Source organism: Homo sapiens, chromosome 3 (genome assembly GCF_000001405.40).
Source record: "Homo sapiens chromosome 3, GRCh38.p14 Primary Assembly".
Classification (NCBI taxonomy): domain Eukaryota; kingdom Metazoa; phylum Chordata; class Mammalia; order Primates; family Hominidae; genus Homo; species Homo sapiens.
In genome coordinates, this window is record NC_000003.12 from 47,800,659 (window position 1) to 47,817,027 (window position 16,369).

Consider the following 16,369-nt stretch of genomic DNA (forward strand, 5'->3'; position numbering starts at 1 on the left):
ATCCTCTCTACCAGACTATAACTTTCTTTGGAGCAGGGACCACGACTTTATCACTTAACTTTCCCAACAACATTGCAAACATAATCTGAGTGAAGCTGAATCCATCATCTTTTCCAACTCTTGTGTCCCTTAATTATGTTAATAGTACATAATCCTTTCAGTCACTATGGTACAGATCTCAAAGTCATCTCTCCACACACTTGTGGCCTGGGCTCAGTCTGCTGCTCAACAGTCACCCCCCCTTTTTTTTCTTTCTTGCTTTTCTCACTGTTGAGTTAAATCTTTCATTCTCTCTCGGGATCTAATTAGCATGCTAGTTTCTATTTTCCCAGCTGATTCAACCCTTTCACTTCCAGAGGAAGCTTTCTAAATTACAGTATTGGCCCAGCGTGGTGGCTCACGCCTGTAATCCCAACACTTTGGGAGGCCAAAGTGTGTGGACCACTTGAGGCCAAGAGTTCGAGGCCAGCCTGGCCAACATGGTGAAACCATCCCTAGTAAAAATACAAAAATGAGCTGGGCATGGTAGTGCACACCTGTAATTCCAGCTACTTGGGAGGCTGAGGCAGGAGAATCGCTTGAACGTGGGAGGTAGAGGTTGCAGTGAGCCGCAACCACCCCACTGCACTCCAGCCTGGGTGACTGAGTAGAGACTCTGTCTCAACAACAACAAAAAAGTGCAGTATTTTACTCTCCTAATAATTTTTTAAATGTCTTACCAAAAAAAGTAAAAATTCCTTAGTATGGCACTCCCCAACAGTTTTTCAGTTCTATTTCCTGTAAAGCTTGCACACACATCCAACCCTGTGGTCACACTGAACTACTGAATATTCCTAGGATTTGTCCCTTGTTCCACTCGTATGTCTTTGTTCACGTTCCTTTCATTTTGCCATTCAGGAGTAACCACTCCTTTCTCTGAACTCTTGGAGTACCTAATACCTCCTTTCCAGCATTTACCACTTTCCATTTCCTTCACACAATGTTGTCATCTTCTCTACTAGGCTCTAAGTCCCTTGAGGCAGGGCCTTTGTAGCCTCCACACCAGCTTAGCAACTGATACACAGAGCACTCAGATGTCCGTGCAGGGATCTCTCTATTCTCCACACAACACAGCACCATGCCCTGTTCAGATGCACTAATTATTTGAATGAATAAATGATGTTCCACCCCCACACCCCGGTCTTCTAGCCAATGTAGAGAGAAAGAAAAGAGATACATGTTGAACTGTTTGCACACAAAAGTGACGGGATATGGCACTAATTCTTCATACAGCCTCAAAGGTCACATCTTTTTTTTTTTTTTTTTTTAAGTTTCATTCTTGTCGCCCAGGCTGGAGTTCAATGACACGATCTCGGCTTACTGCAACATCCGCCTCCCGGGTTCAAGTGATTCTCCTGCCTCAGCCTCCCGAAGTAGCTAGGATTATATGCGCCCGCCACCACGCCCAGCTAATTTTTTTGCATTTTTAGTTGAGACGGGGTTTCACCATGTTGGCCAGGCTGGTTTTGAACTCCTGACCGCAGGTGATCCACCCGCCTTGGCCTCCCAAAGTGCTGGGATTACAGGCGTGAGCCACCACGCCCGGCCTAAAGGCCACATCTTAAAACCATACTCTGTAAAATCCTGACCCAGCTTCAGAGCTACGCCACTGCGTTGTTTCCTTTTGAAGCTGAATTCCACTGAACCTATACTTGAACCTTATCTAGAGGACTACAGCGTGTAATTGGGACAATCCCCTTTCTCATTCCTAAGAGGTGATGTGGCCGGGCGGACCTCCAGATTTCCAGCAACTATGACTGGCACTCTCCCCGCGACCAGCAAGTGCCACCTTGTCCTTTGCCTAACGTTGTACAGTTTACGAAATCAACGAACCAACACGTTGATTTCATCTTCCCTGCAAACTGGGGAGACAAGACAAAAATGCTCACCTCCCTAAAAAAACAGATTAGAGGGGAGATGGGGAAGAGAAGAGGCGTGGCTACGAGCTGTGGCGGGGAAGGCGGGTGGAATCCCGGAGCCCGAGCTGGAAACCGTTCCCCGCTCAGCCATGACCCGGGCTGTTTATTCGCATCAGGAGGCGCGGGTGGCTCGCAGAGGGCGAGAAGACCCTTCCCGCTTTCACACTGCAGGCAGCTAAGTCGCCGAGAAAGGCAGCAACTTGACGCCCGACCCCGCCACCCAAACCCGCTCGCTCTGCGACCCCAGAGCAGCCGGCGCCAACCCGTCCCCTTCGCGACTCCGCCGGAAGTCCCGCCTGCACCGCCGCCGCGCCCCATTGGGCCGGGTGCTGGGGCATCCCGGGCGCTGGGTGCCCCGAGCGGCTACGACGAGTCCCAGGTGGGGCCGGGCTCCAGGCCCGCGGGGGAGCGGAGCCGTGCGCCGCAGGCGGGCTCCGTGACGCCGGGTGGGGAACGCCGGGCCGGTGGCGGGACTTCCGCCACGGGACTCGGAAGGGGCCGCGCCGCCGCTGCTGGGAGTTGTAGTCCGGCCGTGGTTGGGGGAGCCGCGGCTCATGCGCGGTGCACAGAGGCTTGTTTCACATCTGTAACAACAGGTGAATTGGGCTTTTTATTCTCCCCTTTCGTGCCCTCTTGAGGAGCCTGCCGCGGCCGGGGGTGGTCGTCGTGAGGAGGGGGCCCGGTCCGACCGCCAGCCTGGCGGAGAGTGGGGCGGAGACGCCGGCGGGCCCGAGGAGCAGGCCGGGCATCCTAGGCCTGCCCGGGAAGCCGGCCCGGCCGATCCGTGGGCAGCCAGGCCTCGGCCTGCCGTTGCCATGGAGCCCGGGCGGGGGCGGGGGCCAGACCGGTCCGCCGGGGCGGGCCTCGCAGCCAGGGGCTCCGCGGAGGCCGTGGGAGAGGCCGCTTCATTGGCGCAACGACGCCTTCGCCTCGGGATGCGCCGTTTCCCCAGGCAGGGCCTGGAGGAAGCCTCCTGAGTGCCCCGAGACCTTTGTCTACTTCTCCTCCTTCCCGGTGCTGCCCGGACCGTTCGTCCAGAGGGAGGCCCGGTGCCTTCTGGCCCCCCTAGTTTGCCCCCTTTTGCACCGACCTTGTCACTGGGGGAGGCCAAGGGGTGAGGTATTCTTTGTTTGCTGGTGGTAACTTGTCCCATTTAGCAGGGGAAGACCAAATGCATGTTGGGTCCTTTGTTTGCAGTGAACTGGAGTCCCAGGGGTCCTCAGAAACCCTAAGCCAGGGATATGGCATATCTAGTCGTTGTGTAGCAACATTGGTCACTTGAATTATGATTTTTCAAGGCAGAGGCTGTTTCACTTTACAACCCCACTCCATGAGGGTTTGCCATACACTAGCAGGTAGACTGCAGAAGGCCACTTACAGGCTTTCAACCTGGTTTTAGTTGCAGCTTATGGGCCAGAGTGAAATGAGACGTTGTCTGGTGATTTCCCTTGAAGTTTCTTGCAAGGTGGTAACCCCACTGTCATTGTGGGTTTTAACTACATCTTGTAATTTACACTTAAATCTTAGAGATTTAAGGCGATGTGCAGAAACTACATCCTTTGCTGCGTTTTCTACCGGTGTTGGCTCTTTATCCCTAAAAGATAGTTGCTCTTCAAGTGTTTTAATTTATGTAGCTGTGATACAAAGTTTTATTAGGGCCGGGAGCGGTGTCTCACGCCTGTAATCCCAGCACTTTGGGAGGCCGAGGCGGGTGGATCACCTGAGGTCAGAAGTTTGAGACCAGCCTGGCCAACATGGCTAGACCTCGTTTCTACTAAAAATACAAAAATTAGCCGGGCATGGTGGCGTGCGCCTGTAACCCTAGCTACTTGGGAGGCTGAGGCAAGAGAATTGCTTGAACCCAGGAGGCCGAGGTTGCAGTGAGCCAAGATCGCGCCATTTCACCCCAGCCTGGGCAACAAGAGCGAAACTCCTTCTCAAAACAAAACAAAACAAAAACCACACACAAGTTTTATTAGCTGTTGGACCTTTCTTGCCCCTTTCAGCCTTTGAAGATAACAGTATAATATGTCTCAAGGAATGAACCGTAGTACATTTAGGCAACAGCATAATATCCTGGAAATAAGAAAATTAGCCTAGTATAAGCATGGAGGGTTTTGGAGTCAGCATGCTTCAATGCTGATTTCCATCTGCCCTGAGGCAGCTATGGGATCTTGGGCAGGTTGTGTAACCTGTGCTTCAGTTTTCTTCTCTGGAAAGATAATTCCTACCTCACTGGATAGTTGCCTGGATTAAATGGGGTAAAGTCTATGGAAGTATGTTGTGAACTGTAAAAATGGTATTCAACTTTGAGTTATTGTTATTTTCCCAATCTTGAAGAGTATTATAGCTTCTTTATGTTAGATTATCATAATTATTATGGGATTAGAACTCAAAGTGGAAGTAGGTTTTGCTCTGGGCTTCCAGAAAATGCTTTTCAGGCTTACAAGGCTTTCTTTACCTTGACATCTTCTTAGATGATGTCAGAAGACTTCAGCACTTCTACAGGTGCTGGTGTAGGACAGCTTACAATTTAATGGGCCTAGAATGGGTCATGGTAAGTCCTGATTTGTAAGGCCATTTTGTCCAGTATGTGCCCTTCATGCCACTAACAAAATTTGTCCTTGTTAGAGCTAGTAAATGATGGTTGGAGCAACTTTCTTTCCCTATGGGGCCTCCACTGTATTGACTCAGCGTTGTACTTCTCAGGAGGAGGCCCAGCCTCGTGATGAGGAATAGCAAGGAGAGAATTCAGCTCCAGTTCAAAAGCCTACAAAATCTGAGACTGTCATTGCTTTTATAAGGTAAGTTGATTTAGCCGTGCACAGAGCAGTGGTGGATCTGATGCTCAGCTGTACTGTAAAACAAGAGGTATGTGTTAAACCTATTTCTGACCATTTTGGAAGAAGGATATCATTTATTTTATTTTGTTTTATTTTTGAGACAGAGTCTCGCTTTGTCCCCCAGGCTGGAGTGCAGTGGCGCGATCTTGGCTTGCTGCAACCTCTGCCTCCCAGGTTCAAGCAATTCTCCTGTCTCAGCCTCCCAAGTAGCTGAGATTACAGGCGCCTGCCACCATGCCCAGCTGATTGTTTTGTATTTTTAGTAGAGACTGGGTTTCACCATGTTGGCCAGGCTGGTCTCAAACCCCTGACGTCAGGTGATCAGCCTGCCTCAGCCTCCCAAAGTGCTGGGATTACAGGCATGAGCCACTGTGCCCAGCCAGAAGGGTATCATTTTTAGTCATTGTGGAGTCTCTGTCCTGGAACCATCCCCAAGTGACTCTACCTGGAGTTAAATTGTATTTCATTATGCAGGAAATCTTGATATAATAGCATTTTACTTATCTGTAAATTACTTAAGAGACACATTGAGCTACAAGGTTTTTTGTTTTTGAGACAGTCTTGCCCTGTCGCCCAGGCTGGAGTGCAGTGGTGCAATCTTGGCTCACTGCAACCTCCACCTCCTTAGTTCAAGCAATTCCCCTGCCTCAGCCTCATGCCACCAAGCCCGGCTAATTTTTTTGTATTTTTTTTTTTTTTTTTAGATGGGAGTCTCACTCTGTTGCCCAGGTTGGAGTGCAGTGGTGGGATCTTGGCTCACTGCAACCTCTGCCTCCTGGGTTCAAGCGATTCTCCTGCCTCAGCCTCCTGAGTAGCTGGGATTACAGGTGCGCACCACCACGCCTGGCTTATTTTTGTATTTTTAGTAGAGATGGGGTTTCACCATTTTGGTCAGGCTAACCTCAAACTCCTGACCTTGTGATCTGCCTGCCTCTGCCTCCGAAAGTGCTGGGATTACAGGTGTGAGCCACCGTGCCTGGCCAATTTTTTTCTTTTTTTTTTCTGAGATGGAGTCTCACTCTGTCACCCAGGCTGGAGTACAGTGGTGCAATCTTGGCTCACTGCAACCTCCGCCTCCCGGGTTCAAGCGATTCTTCTGTCTCAGCCTCCTGAGTAGCTGGGACTACAGGCGTGCACCACCACGCCTGGCTAATTTTTTGTATTTTTAGTGAAGATGGGGTTTTACCATGTTGGCCGTGCTGGTCTCGAACTCCTGACTTTGTGATCCACCTGCTTCGGCCTCCCAAAGTGCTGGGATTACAGGAGTGAGCCACTGCGCTCAGGCGTGCCTGGCCAATTTTTTTTGTATTTTTAGTAGAGACAGGATTTCACCATCTTGGCCAGAATGGGCTCGAACTCCTGACCTCAGGCAATCTGCCTGCCTCAGCCTCCCAAAGTGATGGGATTACAGGCGTGAGCCACCAAGCCTGGCCCACTACAAAGATTTTTAAACATTACTGCATTATGGCCGGTCGTGGTGGCTGATGCCTGTAATCCCAGCACTTTGGGAGGCTGAGGCGGGCGGATCACAAGGTCAGGAGTTCGAGTCCAGCCTGGCCAACATGGTGAAACACTGTCTCTACCAAAAATACAAAAATTAGCCAGGCGTGGTGGCGGGTGCCTGTAATCCCAGCTACTAGGGAGACTGAGACAGGAGAATCATTTGAATCCGGGAGGTGGAGGTTGTAGTGAGCAGAGATCATGCCATTGCACTCCAGCCTGGGCAACAAGAGCAACACTCTGTCTCAAAACAAAACACCATTACTGACTGCATTACAAGGAAGACCGCTTTCTTTTGGATCTCTATGAAATGTTCTAGAGCTCTGTAAATTCTGTCTCTAAAAGATCCTGTCTTGATTCTCATAGTATCGTTTTTTTAGATTAGTACAGGAAAAAGAATGGTACATGAGCCTAAATTGACATATTGGGCTAGAGGTTTAGGGACTTTTAAAAAGCAAAACTGGCCGGGCACGGTGGCTCATGCCTGTAATCCCAGCACTTTGGGAGGCCGAGGCAGGCAGATCATGAGGCCAAGAGATCGAGACCATCCTGGCCAACATGATGAAAGCCCATCTCTACTAAAAATCCAAAAAAATTTAGCCGTGCATGGTGGCGTGTGCCTGTAGTCCCAGCTACTTGGAAGGCTGAGACAGGAGAATAGCTTGAACCCGGGAGGTGGAGGTTGCAGTAAGCTGATATTACGCCATTGCCCTCCAACCTGGTGACAGAGCGAGACTCTGTCTCAAAAAAAAAAAAAAAAAAAAAAAAGCAAAATCAAGAGTCTATTTGCAAGCAAATTAACTTACAAATTTTTTTTTTAGAGGCAGGGTCTCACTGTGTTGCCTAGGCTGGTCTTGAACTCCTGGCCTCAAGCGATCCTTCACCTGGGCGTCCCAAAGTGCTGGGACTACAGGCATGAGCCACCCCACCTAGCCATTAAATTTTGCTTTTTTTTTTTAAATTTTTTTGAGACAGAGTTTCGCTCTTGTTGCCCAGCCTGCAGTGCAGTGGCGCAATCTCATCTCACTGGAACGTCCACCTCCTGGGTTCAAGTGATTCTCCTGCCTCAGCCTCCCACGTAGTTGGGATTACAGGCATGCACCACCACGTCCGGCTAATTTTGTATTTTTAGTAGAGACGGGGTTTCTGCATGTTGGTCAGGCTGGTCTCAAACTCCCGACCTCAGGTGATCTGCTTGCCTCGGCCTCCCAAAATGCTGGGATTACAGGCATGAGCCACTGCACCCGCCTTACTTTTTGTTTTTTTTTTTTAAGAGAGACAGGGTCTTGCTTTGTCACCCAGACTGGAGTGCAGTGGCGTGATCACAGCTCACTGTAAACCTCAAAATCCTGGGCGAAGTGATCCTCCTGCCTCAGCCTCCTGAGTAGCTAAGACTGCAAGCATGTACCACCACACCTGGCTAATTCTGAAAATTTTTTTTAGAGATGCGGTCTCACTATGTTGCCCAGGCTGGTCTTGAACTCCTGGTCTCAAGTGCTCCTCTCATCTCAGCCTCCCAAAGCGCTGGGATTACAGGTGTGAACCACTGTGCCTAGCCAGTTTACCATTTCGTAGCAATAGAGTATTGTTTCTTTTTTTTTTTTCTTAAATTTATTTTTTATTTTTATTTTTTTGAGATGGAGTCTCGCTCTGTTGCCCAGGCTGGAGTGCAGAGGTGTGATCTTGGCTCACTGCAACCTCCGCTTCTCGGGTTCAAGCGATTCTCCTGCCTCAGTCCCCTGAGTAGCTGGGATTACAGGCATGCGCCACCACAGCTGGCTAATTTTTGTATTTTTACTGGGGGCGAGGTTTCCTCATGTTGGCCAGGCTGGTCTCGAACTTCTGACCTCAGGGTGATCCGCCCACCTCAGCCTCCCAAAGTGCTGGGATTACAGGCATGAGCCACTGCAACCAGCCGAGTTTTGTTTTTTGTTTTTGTTTTTTTTGAGACAGAGTCTCACTCTTGTTGCCCAGGCTGGAGTGCAATGGTGCGATCTCGGCTCACTGCAACCTCTGCTTCCCGGATTCAAGCGATTCTCCTGCCCCAGCCTCCCGAGTAGCTGAGATTACAGGCGCCTGCCACCGTGCCTGGCTAATTTTTTGTATTTTTTTAGTAGAGACGGGGTCATGTTGGTCAGGGAGTATTGTTTTTTAAGTAATATTCACTTAAAATGTTTTAGATTTTATAATATTCTGGTTTTCTTTTAAATTAGAATGTCAAATTACACACTTTTTATTTTCATTTGGATAGAAGGTGTCTATGGAATGTAACTTCTTTTTTTTTTTTTTTTTTTTTTTTTGAGACGGAGTCTCACTCTGTCGCCCAGGCTGGAGTGCAGTGGCACAATCTTGGCTCACTGCAAGCTCTGCCTCCTGGGTTCACGCCATTCTCCTGCCTCAGCCTCCTGAGTAGCTGGGACTACAGGCCCGCACAACCATGCCTGGCTCATTTTTTTGTATTTTTTTAGTAGAGACGGGGTTTCACCGTGTTAGCAAGGATGGTCTCGATCTCCTGACCTCGTGATCCGCCCACCTCGGCCTCCCAAAGTGCTGGGATTACAGGCGTGAGCCACCGCGCCTGGCCGGAATGTAACTTCTTAAAGTAAATGTTATCATTGTTGATATTGTATTGAAGTTTTCTCTGTGATATACCATATCCTATGGGCTGAAATTTCCAGCATCCCTTGGGGAGTGGAGGCCATCAGGGCAGACCTGCTATGGACCTGAAAGATTCCGCCCCAGGTCAGCCCTCCACTCCCCACCTCCCCACAATTTGAGAATGAGAGGGAACAGGAGTCAGGAGCCGGAGTGTTGGCCCCAGTAGACTCCAATCAATGTTGGACATGATTCTGATTGGCTAAACACTGTGTAGATGTTTTTAAACAAAGTCCATTTAAGGTTACTGCACTAATCAAGGAGTACTGGATTATAAAAACATCTATAAATCTGAGTTTGAGTATTTTTTAAAACAAAATTGTTAAACCAGATGTGTTGCTTTTTTTTCTTGTCATCTCTAAGTATAGTCCTCAGTTAAATATACTAATAAGCAAAATGCACCAAAACTTTTGGCTAATAGTTGTGCTTTAACTTAATATTTGTTATTTCATAGAGACTGCTATGAAAAGCTTTTTATTCTGAATCACTGTACAGTTATTCTTTGATCCTGTCAGTCAAATCTCATTTTTAGGGTCTTGACTAGGTTTTATGAAAGCCCAGTAAGGCAGTTTGCCCATAAGGCAGTCATCAGTCCTGTTTCCTGATGCCACATGACAGAAGGGGTCCATGTAGAATTTCGTTTCTTCCTGGAAGTCCCAAGGAAACCTGCAAGTATTATGATAACTAGGAAGGAAACCTGCAAGTATTATGATGAACTGGGAAGGAAACCTGTAAGTATTATGATGAACTAGATAGAACTACATGTCTCTCATGATGAAATGCATCTCCCTCTGTTTAACAGGATATGGGGAGTTTTAGGACAGGGAAGAAAGTGCTCAATTAGAAAGAAGCAAAGACAATTACTCTAGAGTGGAGCTGGCCTTCCAGTCCTCAAGACTGGGGAGCAGCAGTTGGGGCTCATTAGTGAAGAGTTTCATTTTTTTCATTTTCTGAACAGTGCTCTCCATGTTACTGAAGTCTTCTTTGTGGGTTGCTGGACCAGGAATATTAACCATTGCCTCTTGGCCCTCCTTGTTCTCAGGATTCCAGCTTTCCCTCCTGGCCAGAAATGTTCAGCCTGGACTCATTCAGAAAAGGTAAGACTGCAACTGTGCTTGTGACCTCATGCCCTTCCTTATTGGGATGGGCAGCTCTGAGGGCTGTGAAAGTCTCTCCCCAGTATGTAGTTCTTGCACATTTCTTTGGGTGGTTTTCCAAAGGCCTTTCCTATAGCCTTCCTTTTGCATGGTGCTTAGAATCTGTGCCAACCCTTGCCATGGCCTTTGCCATGCTTCCTCCCAGTGCCCCCTTCTGCGTACTCCCTGCTTATTAAAATCCTTTTTTTTTTTTCTGAGATGGAGCCTCACTTCTGTCGCCCAGGCTGGAGTGCAGTGGCACGATCTCGGCTCAGTGCAATCTCCTCCTCCTGGGTTGAAGCAATTCTCCTGCCTCAGCCTCCGTAGTAGCTGGGATTACAGGAACCAGCTGCCAAGCTCGGCTAATTCTTTTTTTTTTTTTTAGTTGAGACGGGGTTTCACCATGTTGGCCAGGCTGGTCTCAAACTGTTGACCTCAAGTGATCCACCCACCTCGGCCTCCCAAAGTGCTGGGATTACAGGTGTGAGCCACCGTGGCTGGCCTCTAAAATCCTATTTTTCTAGGCTAGTATTTTATACCATCTCCTTCATGAACCTTTCCTAATTCTGTTGACCAAATGCAATCTTTCTCCAATCTTCCTCGGTACCATACCTGTTCGTTCTCATGGTTAGTCTATTCTGAATTAATCATTTTGTCACTAGATTGGAAGCTCCCTGTAGCCAGGGCCTGTTGTGTGCTTTTACGATGCATAGCACCTGGCCAGCATTTCGCACATAGTAGGCCTCAGTAAACACTGGTGGAAGTTGGATTGAGTCTGTATTAGGCTGTTCTTGCATTGGTATAAAAAAATACCTGAGACTGGGTAATTTATAAGAAAAGAGGTTTAATTGGCTCACATTTCTGCAGGGTGTATAGGAAACATGGTGCTGGCATCTGTTTGGCTTCTGGGGAGGACTCAGGGAGCTTTCACTCAGGGGCAGAAGGTGAAGCGGGAGCAGGCGTGTCACGTGGCAAAAATCAGGATCCAGAGAGAGAGAGTTGGGGAGGTGCCACACAATTTAAACAAGATTGGCTGGGCATGATGGCTCACGCCTGTAATCCCAGCACTTTGGGAGGCCAAGGTGGACGGATTGCCTGAGCTCAGGAGTTCCAGACCAGCCTGGACAACACAGTGAAACCCCATCTCTACTAAAATACAAAAAATTATCCAGGCGTGGCAGTCTGCGCCTATAGTCCCAGCTACTTGGGAGGCTGAGGCAGGAGAATAGCTTTAACCCGGGAGGCAGAGGTTGCAGTGAGCCGAGATTACACCACTGCACTCCAGCCTGGGCAACAGAGCAAGACTCAGTCTCAAAAAAAAAAAAAAAAAAGGCCATGTGTGGTGGTGGGCACCTGTAATCCCAGCTACTTGGGAGGCTGAGGCAGGAGAATCGCTTGAACCTGGGAGACGGGTTGCAGTGAGCTGAGATCGTGCCATTGCACTCCAGCCTGGGCAACAAGAGTGAGATGCCATCTCAAAAATAAATAAATAAATAAATAAAATAAACAACAGGATCTCATGAGAGGCTGGGCGCAGTGGCTCACACCTGTAATCCCAGCACTTTGGGAGGCCAAAGTGGGCGGATCACTTGAGGTCAGGCATTTGAGACCAGCCTGGCCAACATGATGAGACCCGTCTCTACTAAAAATACAGAAAATTAGCTAGGCGTGGTGGTGTGCACCTGTATTCCCAGCTACTTGGGAGGCTAAGGCACGAGAATTGCTTGAACCCAGGAGGTGCAGGTTGTAGTGAGTCAAGATTGTGCCACTGCACTCCAGCCTGGGCGACAGGGCAAGAATCCATCTCAAAAAAAAAAAAAAGATTTCATGAGAATTTACTCACTATCACAAGGATAGTAGCAAGCCATGAGGGATCCATTCTGTGACCCTTCAACAGCAGAGATTACATTTCCTTTTTTTTTTTTTTTGAGACGGAGTCTCACTCTGTTGTTGCCCAGGCTGGAGTGCAGTGGCACGAGCTTGGCTCACTGCAACCTCTGCCTCCCGGGTTCAAGCAATTCTCCTGCCTCAGCCTCCCGAGTAGCTGGGACTACAGGCGTGTGCCACCACACCCGGGTAATTCTTGTATTTTTAGTAGAGATGGGATTTCGCCATATTGGCCAGGCTGGTCTGTAACTCCTGAGCTCAAGTGATTTCGCCCATCTCGGCCTCCCAAAGTGTTGGGATTACAGGCGTGAGCCACCAGCAGGAGATTACATTTCAACATGAGATTTGGGTAGGGACAAATATCCACACTATATCAAAGTCATTCTTTCGTTAGTGATCATAGAAACTCTGGCAAGTCTTGCCGGGCGCGGTGGCTCACGCCTGTAATCCCAGCACTTTGGGAGGCCGAGGCAGGCGGATCACGAGGTCAGGAGATTGAGACCATCCTGGCCAATATGGTGAAACCCCGTCTCTACTAAAAATACAAAATAAAAAATTAGCCGGGTGCGGTGGTGGGTGCCTATAGTCCCAGCTACTCGGGAGGCTGAGGCAGGAGAATGGTGTGAACCCAGGGGGCGGAGCTTGCAGTGAGCCGAGATCGCGCCACTGTCTGGCCTGGGCGAAACAGCGAGACTCCATCTCAAAAAACAAAAAGAAATTCTGGCAAGTCTTGAAATTAGTGCTCTACAGCACACTGAGTGAGGGGGTTGCATAGGCAATGGCAGAATTGAGCCTTGACAGGGCTATAGGGTAGAGTTCACAATGTGTTTATAGGAGGTAAAGTAGCCTGTGGGGACTTTAGGGGCCAGATCCTGAGAGCTTTGTATTTCTTAGAACATGACTTTTTTTCTTCAAGAGACTGAAGAGTAAAGGGCCTGTAGCCCGTGTTGAAGCTGATTCTGAGGCTTCTGTCTGAGGATATTTTACAAATAAATAAGAACCATAACAGAACGTCTATAACTGCTGATTAAATAGGTCTTCCTGATTGTGTCTTCTCTCTCTCTAAGTTGTGTTCCTCGAGGCCTGGGAAACCCCTGGCCAAGTGGTGCCCTGTGTAACCCATTGAATGGGGCCAGAAGGAGGGCTGGACGTACTAGGGCTCAGAGAGCAGCATGTCCCTGCCTCCTTGTGTATCTCCAGCCACTCCATCTGTTTTCATATTGTTTGAAAAAATTTATTTCTGTCATCCTGGGCTTTTTTTTTTTTTTTTTTTTTGGCCAGCTGTATGTAAGAAGGAAAAAACTGAACTTGAGATTAGTGTGGGCAGCACATTTTTTTTTTTTAGCTAAAATTAGCACTTTGTGTTTACTTACTAACCAGTGGGCTTTATTGTCTACCCACTTGTAAAAGGTCGATGAAAGCAGGTTTTCTCATGGTGAGTGTCTCTGAATTAATAGTACTGATTTTGTAAAGAGATGGAAAGCCCAATAAAAATCACGATCCTCAGCTGAGCGCGGTGGCTCAGGCCTGTAATCCCAGCACTTTGGGAGGCTAAGGTGGGTGGACTACTTGACATCAGGAGTTCGAGACCAGCCTGGCCAACATGGTGAAACCCCGTCTCTACTAAAAAAAAATAAAAATAAAAATAAAAATCAGCCGGGCATGGTAATCCCAGCTACTTGGGAGGCTGAGGCAGCAAATCGCTTGAACCCAGGAGGCAGAGGTGGCAGTGAGCTGAGATCACACCACTGCACTCTAGCCTGGGTGACAGAGCGAGACTCTGTCTCAAAACAAAAAAAAAAAAAAAAAAAGAAAAAAAAATTTTTTTTTCCTGTCTGAGCGCCGTGTCTCATGCTTGTAATCCCAGCACTTTGGGAGGCTAAGACAAAAAGATTGTTTGAGCCAGGAGTTTGAGAGCAGCCTGGACAGCATTGGGAGACCCTGTCTCTCTGTATTTTTAGCAAGCTCCACCTCCCAGATTCATGCCATTTTTCTGCCTCAGCCTCCCGAGTAGCTGGGACTACAGGCGCCAGCCACCACGCCTGGCTAATTTTTTGTATTTTTAGTGGAGATGGGGTTTCACCATGTTAGCCAGGATGGCCTCAGTCTCCTGACCTCATGATCCACCCGCCTTGGCCTCCTAAAGTGTTGGGATTACAGGTGTGAACCACCACGCCCGGCCGTTTTTTGTTAGTTAGTTTTGTTTTGTTTTGTTCTGTATTTTTTTAAGAAATAAAATAATTAAAAAAATAATTTTTTTTTTTTTGGTGGAAACAGGGTCTTCCTATGTTTCCCAGGCTGTTCTCAAACTCCTGGCTTCATGTAATCCTCCTGCCTTGGCCTCCCAAAGTGTTGGGACTACAGGTGTGAGCCACTGTGCTTGGCTTGAGTTTTCCTTTTACATGTTTCTTTGCTCTTCATCATCAAATTATGAGTTCCTAGGGTGTCATGAACCTTGAGAGGAAATGTAAGTTGATGTGAAGCTTGAGGTTCCCGAGTTTCATTGACTGGGGCTTGAATCTGGCTTTCCCTAATACTAGCAAGGTGTTAACTTACCTGATCTTGTTTCCTACCTGCTATCTTCAGGACTACAGTGAAGATATTAGAGCTGAAATATAGGAAAAGCACCTGGCTATGGTCGGTGCTCAACCCTTACTCTTGGGCATGGTATGCCCTTGATAAATACTGGAGAGCTATAGCCTTGCCTCAGCATGCAGTGTGCTGTGAGGTTGCATGATTGAGCACCTGCTGTGTAGGAGACACTAGGGTGAAGAGAGCTCTGTTTCAGAGATGCTTCTTGGTACTCTGGAGCTTATAGCCTCAATAGGATGGGCCATTTGATGGTTCTGATGGAAACAGCTATAGCAATTCCATGCAGCATTGTGGATGGTGGCCCACTGGGTCTTGTGGCTAGCTACCATCTTTCTCATTATGTAATTTAACAAAGCTGTTGGTAAGAATGCCCATGTTCCTGGTAAGTTACTTGTTACTGCCCTTGCGAGCATCTTAACTTAGCTGTCTGATTTCTTACCTGTAATGCCATCGGACTCAGGCTACAAAGAGCAAGCTGAACAATAAAAAAGAGCAAAAAAAAAAAAAAAAAAAAAAAAAAAAGAGCAAGCTGAGTCTTTCACAGCCAGCACAAAACTTTGAAAAACACTGGATCAATAGCAAGAATGTGCATTTTCTCTCCAGGTACATGGTCAGAAGTGGGCTCAGTGAAGTTATGGGATTGTAACAACTCTCTCCCAATTGCTGAAAATGCTTAATGAGATAATAACTAATCATTGAATCATTTATTCTTTTTTTTTTTTTTTCAATCCAGCATCCCTGGATGTGAATGAGGACCCTCCTTAAACAGGAATGGAGAGGTTGAGCTGGTCATTTCCAACCTTAGCTTCAAGGCAGAACTGGAATTAGTTTCAAAATAAACCTTGATCCTAGGCATTTAGTTCTAGAAGATCCTACAAGCACGTCTGCTGTAACTCTATGTATGTTTTCTGTAAAATCACATACCTATAAAATAAAAAGAAAAAAATCACACATCTATAATATTATAAGAGAGCTTATGGGAAAAATAGAATTGGGCCAATGCAACTGCAACTTTTTGACCAAAATATGACAAAAAACAATTATTGGTGCTTGGGAAGATGCTTTGGACTACCTAGACAGGCAGCTCAGGGTGATGTGATGCTGCAAATGTACAAAGAGCCGTCTTCTTTTTTTTTTTTTTTTTTTTAAGACGGAGTCTTGTTCTGTGGCCAGGCTGGAGTGCAATGGCGCGATCTCGGCTCACTGCATCCTCCGCCTCCCGGGTTCAAGTCATTCTCGTGCCTCAGCCTCCTGAGTAGCTGGGACTACAGGCACACGCCACCATGCCCTGCCAATTTTTGTATTTTTAGTAGAGACGGGGTTTCACCATGTTGGCCAGGATGGTCTCGATCTCTTGACCTTGTGATCCGCTGGCCTCAGCCTCCCAAAGTGCTGGGATTATAGGCGTGAGCCACCGCGCCGGGCTACAAAGAGCCTTCTAATGTGAGCAGAGCTGGCAGTTACCGAGGAAGCCCAGGTGGAGGTGGAGTTCTGAAACAGCCACTGTGGTGAAGGAGTGTGTGCAGCTGGGACTGTGGGGGAGGAGGGTTGGAGTGCAGGACTTGCTTCTCCCCTAACATTTTGTTGTGAAAAATTTCAAAAATACTGAAACATTGAAGAAATTGTATAGTGAACACCTTTGTATCTACCACCTTGATTCTCTATAGGTATAGGCACTCAATTTTAATAAAAAAAAAAATAGCTGAAAGGGCTTTTTCTTTCCTGCTGAAGATTATAATTCTACTCCTGCTTTTTCAGCTCCTTTGCTTTCAGAATTTTTTGAAACAAGAGTCTTGTT

The 16,369-nt window shown here is 47.6% G+C and overlaps 1 protein-coding gene across 6 annotated transcripts in view, besides 4 other annotated features; it reads left to right on the forward strand.

The window, feature by feature from the left end:
• Positions 2,051-2,900: a silencer, noted in NCBI's record as "silent region_14317". NCBI's record gives its function as "represses an Ori minimal core promoter by ATAC-STARR-seq in GM12878 lymphoblastoid cells {active_cell/tissue: GM12878}" and the evidence as "EXISTENCE:reporter gene assay evidence [ECO:0000049][PMID:35858748]".
• Positions 2,051-3,150: a biological region, named in NCBI's record as "H3K27ac hESC enhancer GRCh37_chr3:47844773-47845298".
• DHX30 (DExH-box helicase 30) overlaps positions 2,480-16,369 on the forward strand; it is a 47,056-nt gene continuing 33,166 nt past the window's right edge. For 3 of the 6 annotated variants that reach the window (NM_014966.4, NM_138615.3, XM_006713033.2), the window contains exons 1-3: positions 2,480-2,554; positions 4,668-4,762; positions 9,999-10,053. Coding sequence is in view for 3 of the 6 variants with exons in the window: in NM_138615.3 (NP_619520.1) it covers positions 10,026-10,053 (28 nt within the window). In the remaining 3 variants the exon portion in view is untranslated. Of the gene's footprint in view, positions 2,555-2,799; positions 3,073-4,667; positions 4,763-9,998; positions 10,054-15,304; positions 16,280-16,369 lie in introns of those variants that run through there. The other 3 variants (NR_075079.3, NM_001330990.2, XM_011533494.4) reach the window with 3 other exon arrangements.
• Positions 2,625-3,150: an enhancer, noted in NCBI's record as "H3K27ac hESC enhancer chr3:47844773-47845298 (GRCh37/hg19 assembly coordinates)". NCBI's record gives its function as "activates a minimal SCP1, AML or CMV promoter by ChIP-STARR-seq in primed H9 embryonic stem cells {active_cell/tissue: H9 hESC(primed)}" and the evidence as "EXISTENCE:reporter gene assay evidence [ECO:0000049][PMID:30033119]".
• Positions 4,078-4,274: a silencer, noted in NCBI's record as "fragment chr3:47846226-47846422 (GRCh37/hg19 assembly coordinates)". NCBI's record gives its function as "represses an EF-1alpha promoter that drives an FKBP-Casp9 reporter gene in an ReSE screen in phorbol 12-myristate 13-acetate-treated (for megakaryocytic differentiation) K562 erythroleukemia cells {active_cell/tissue: K562(+PMA)}" and the evidence as "EXISTENCE:reporter gene assay evidence [ECO:0000049][PMID:32094911]".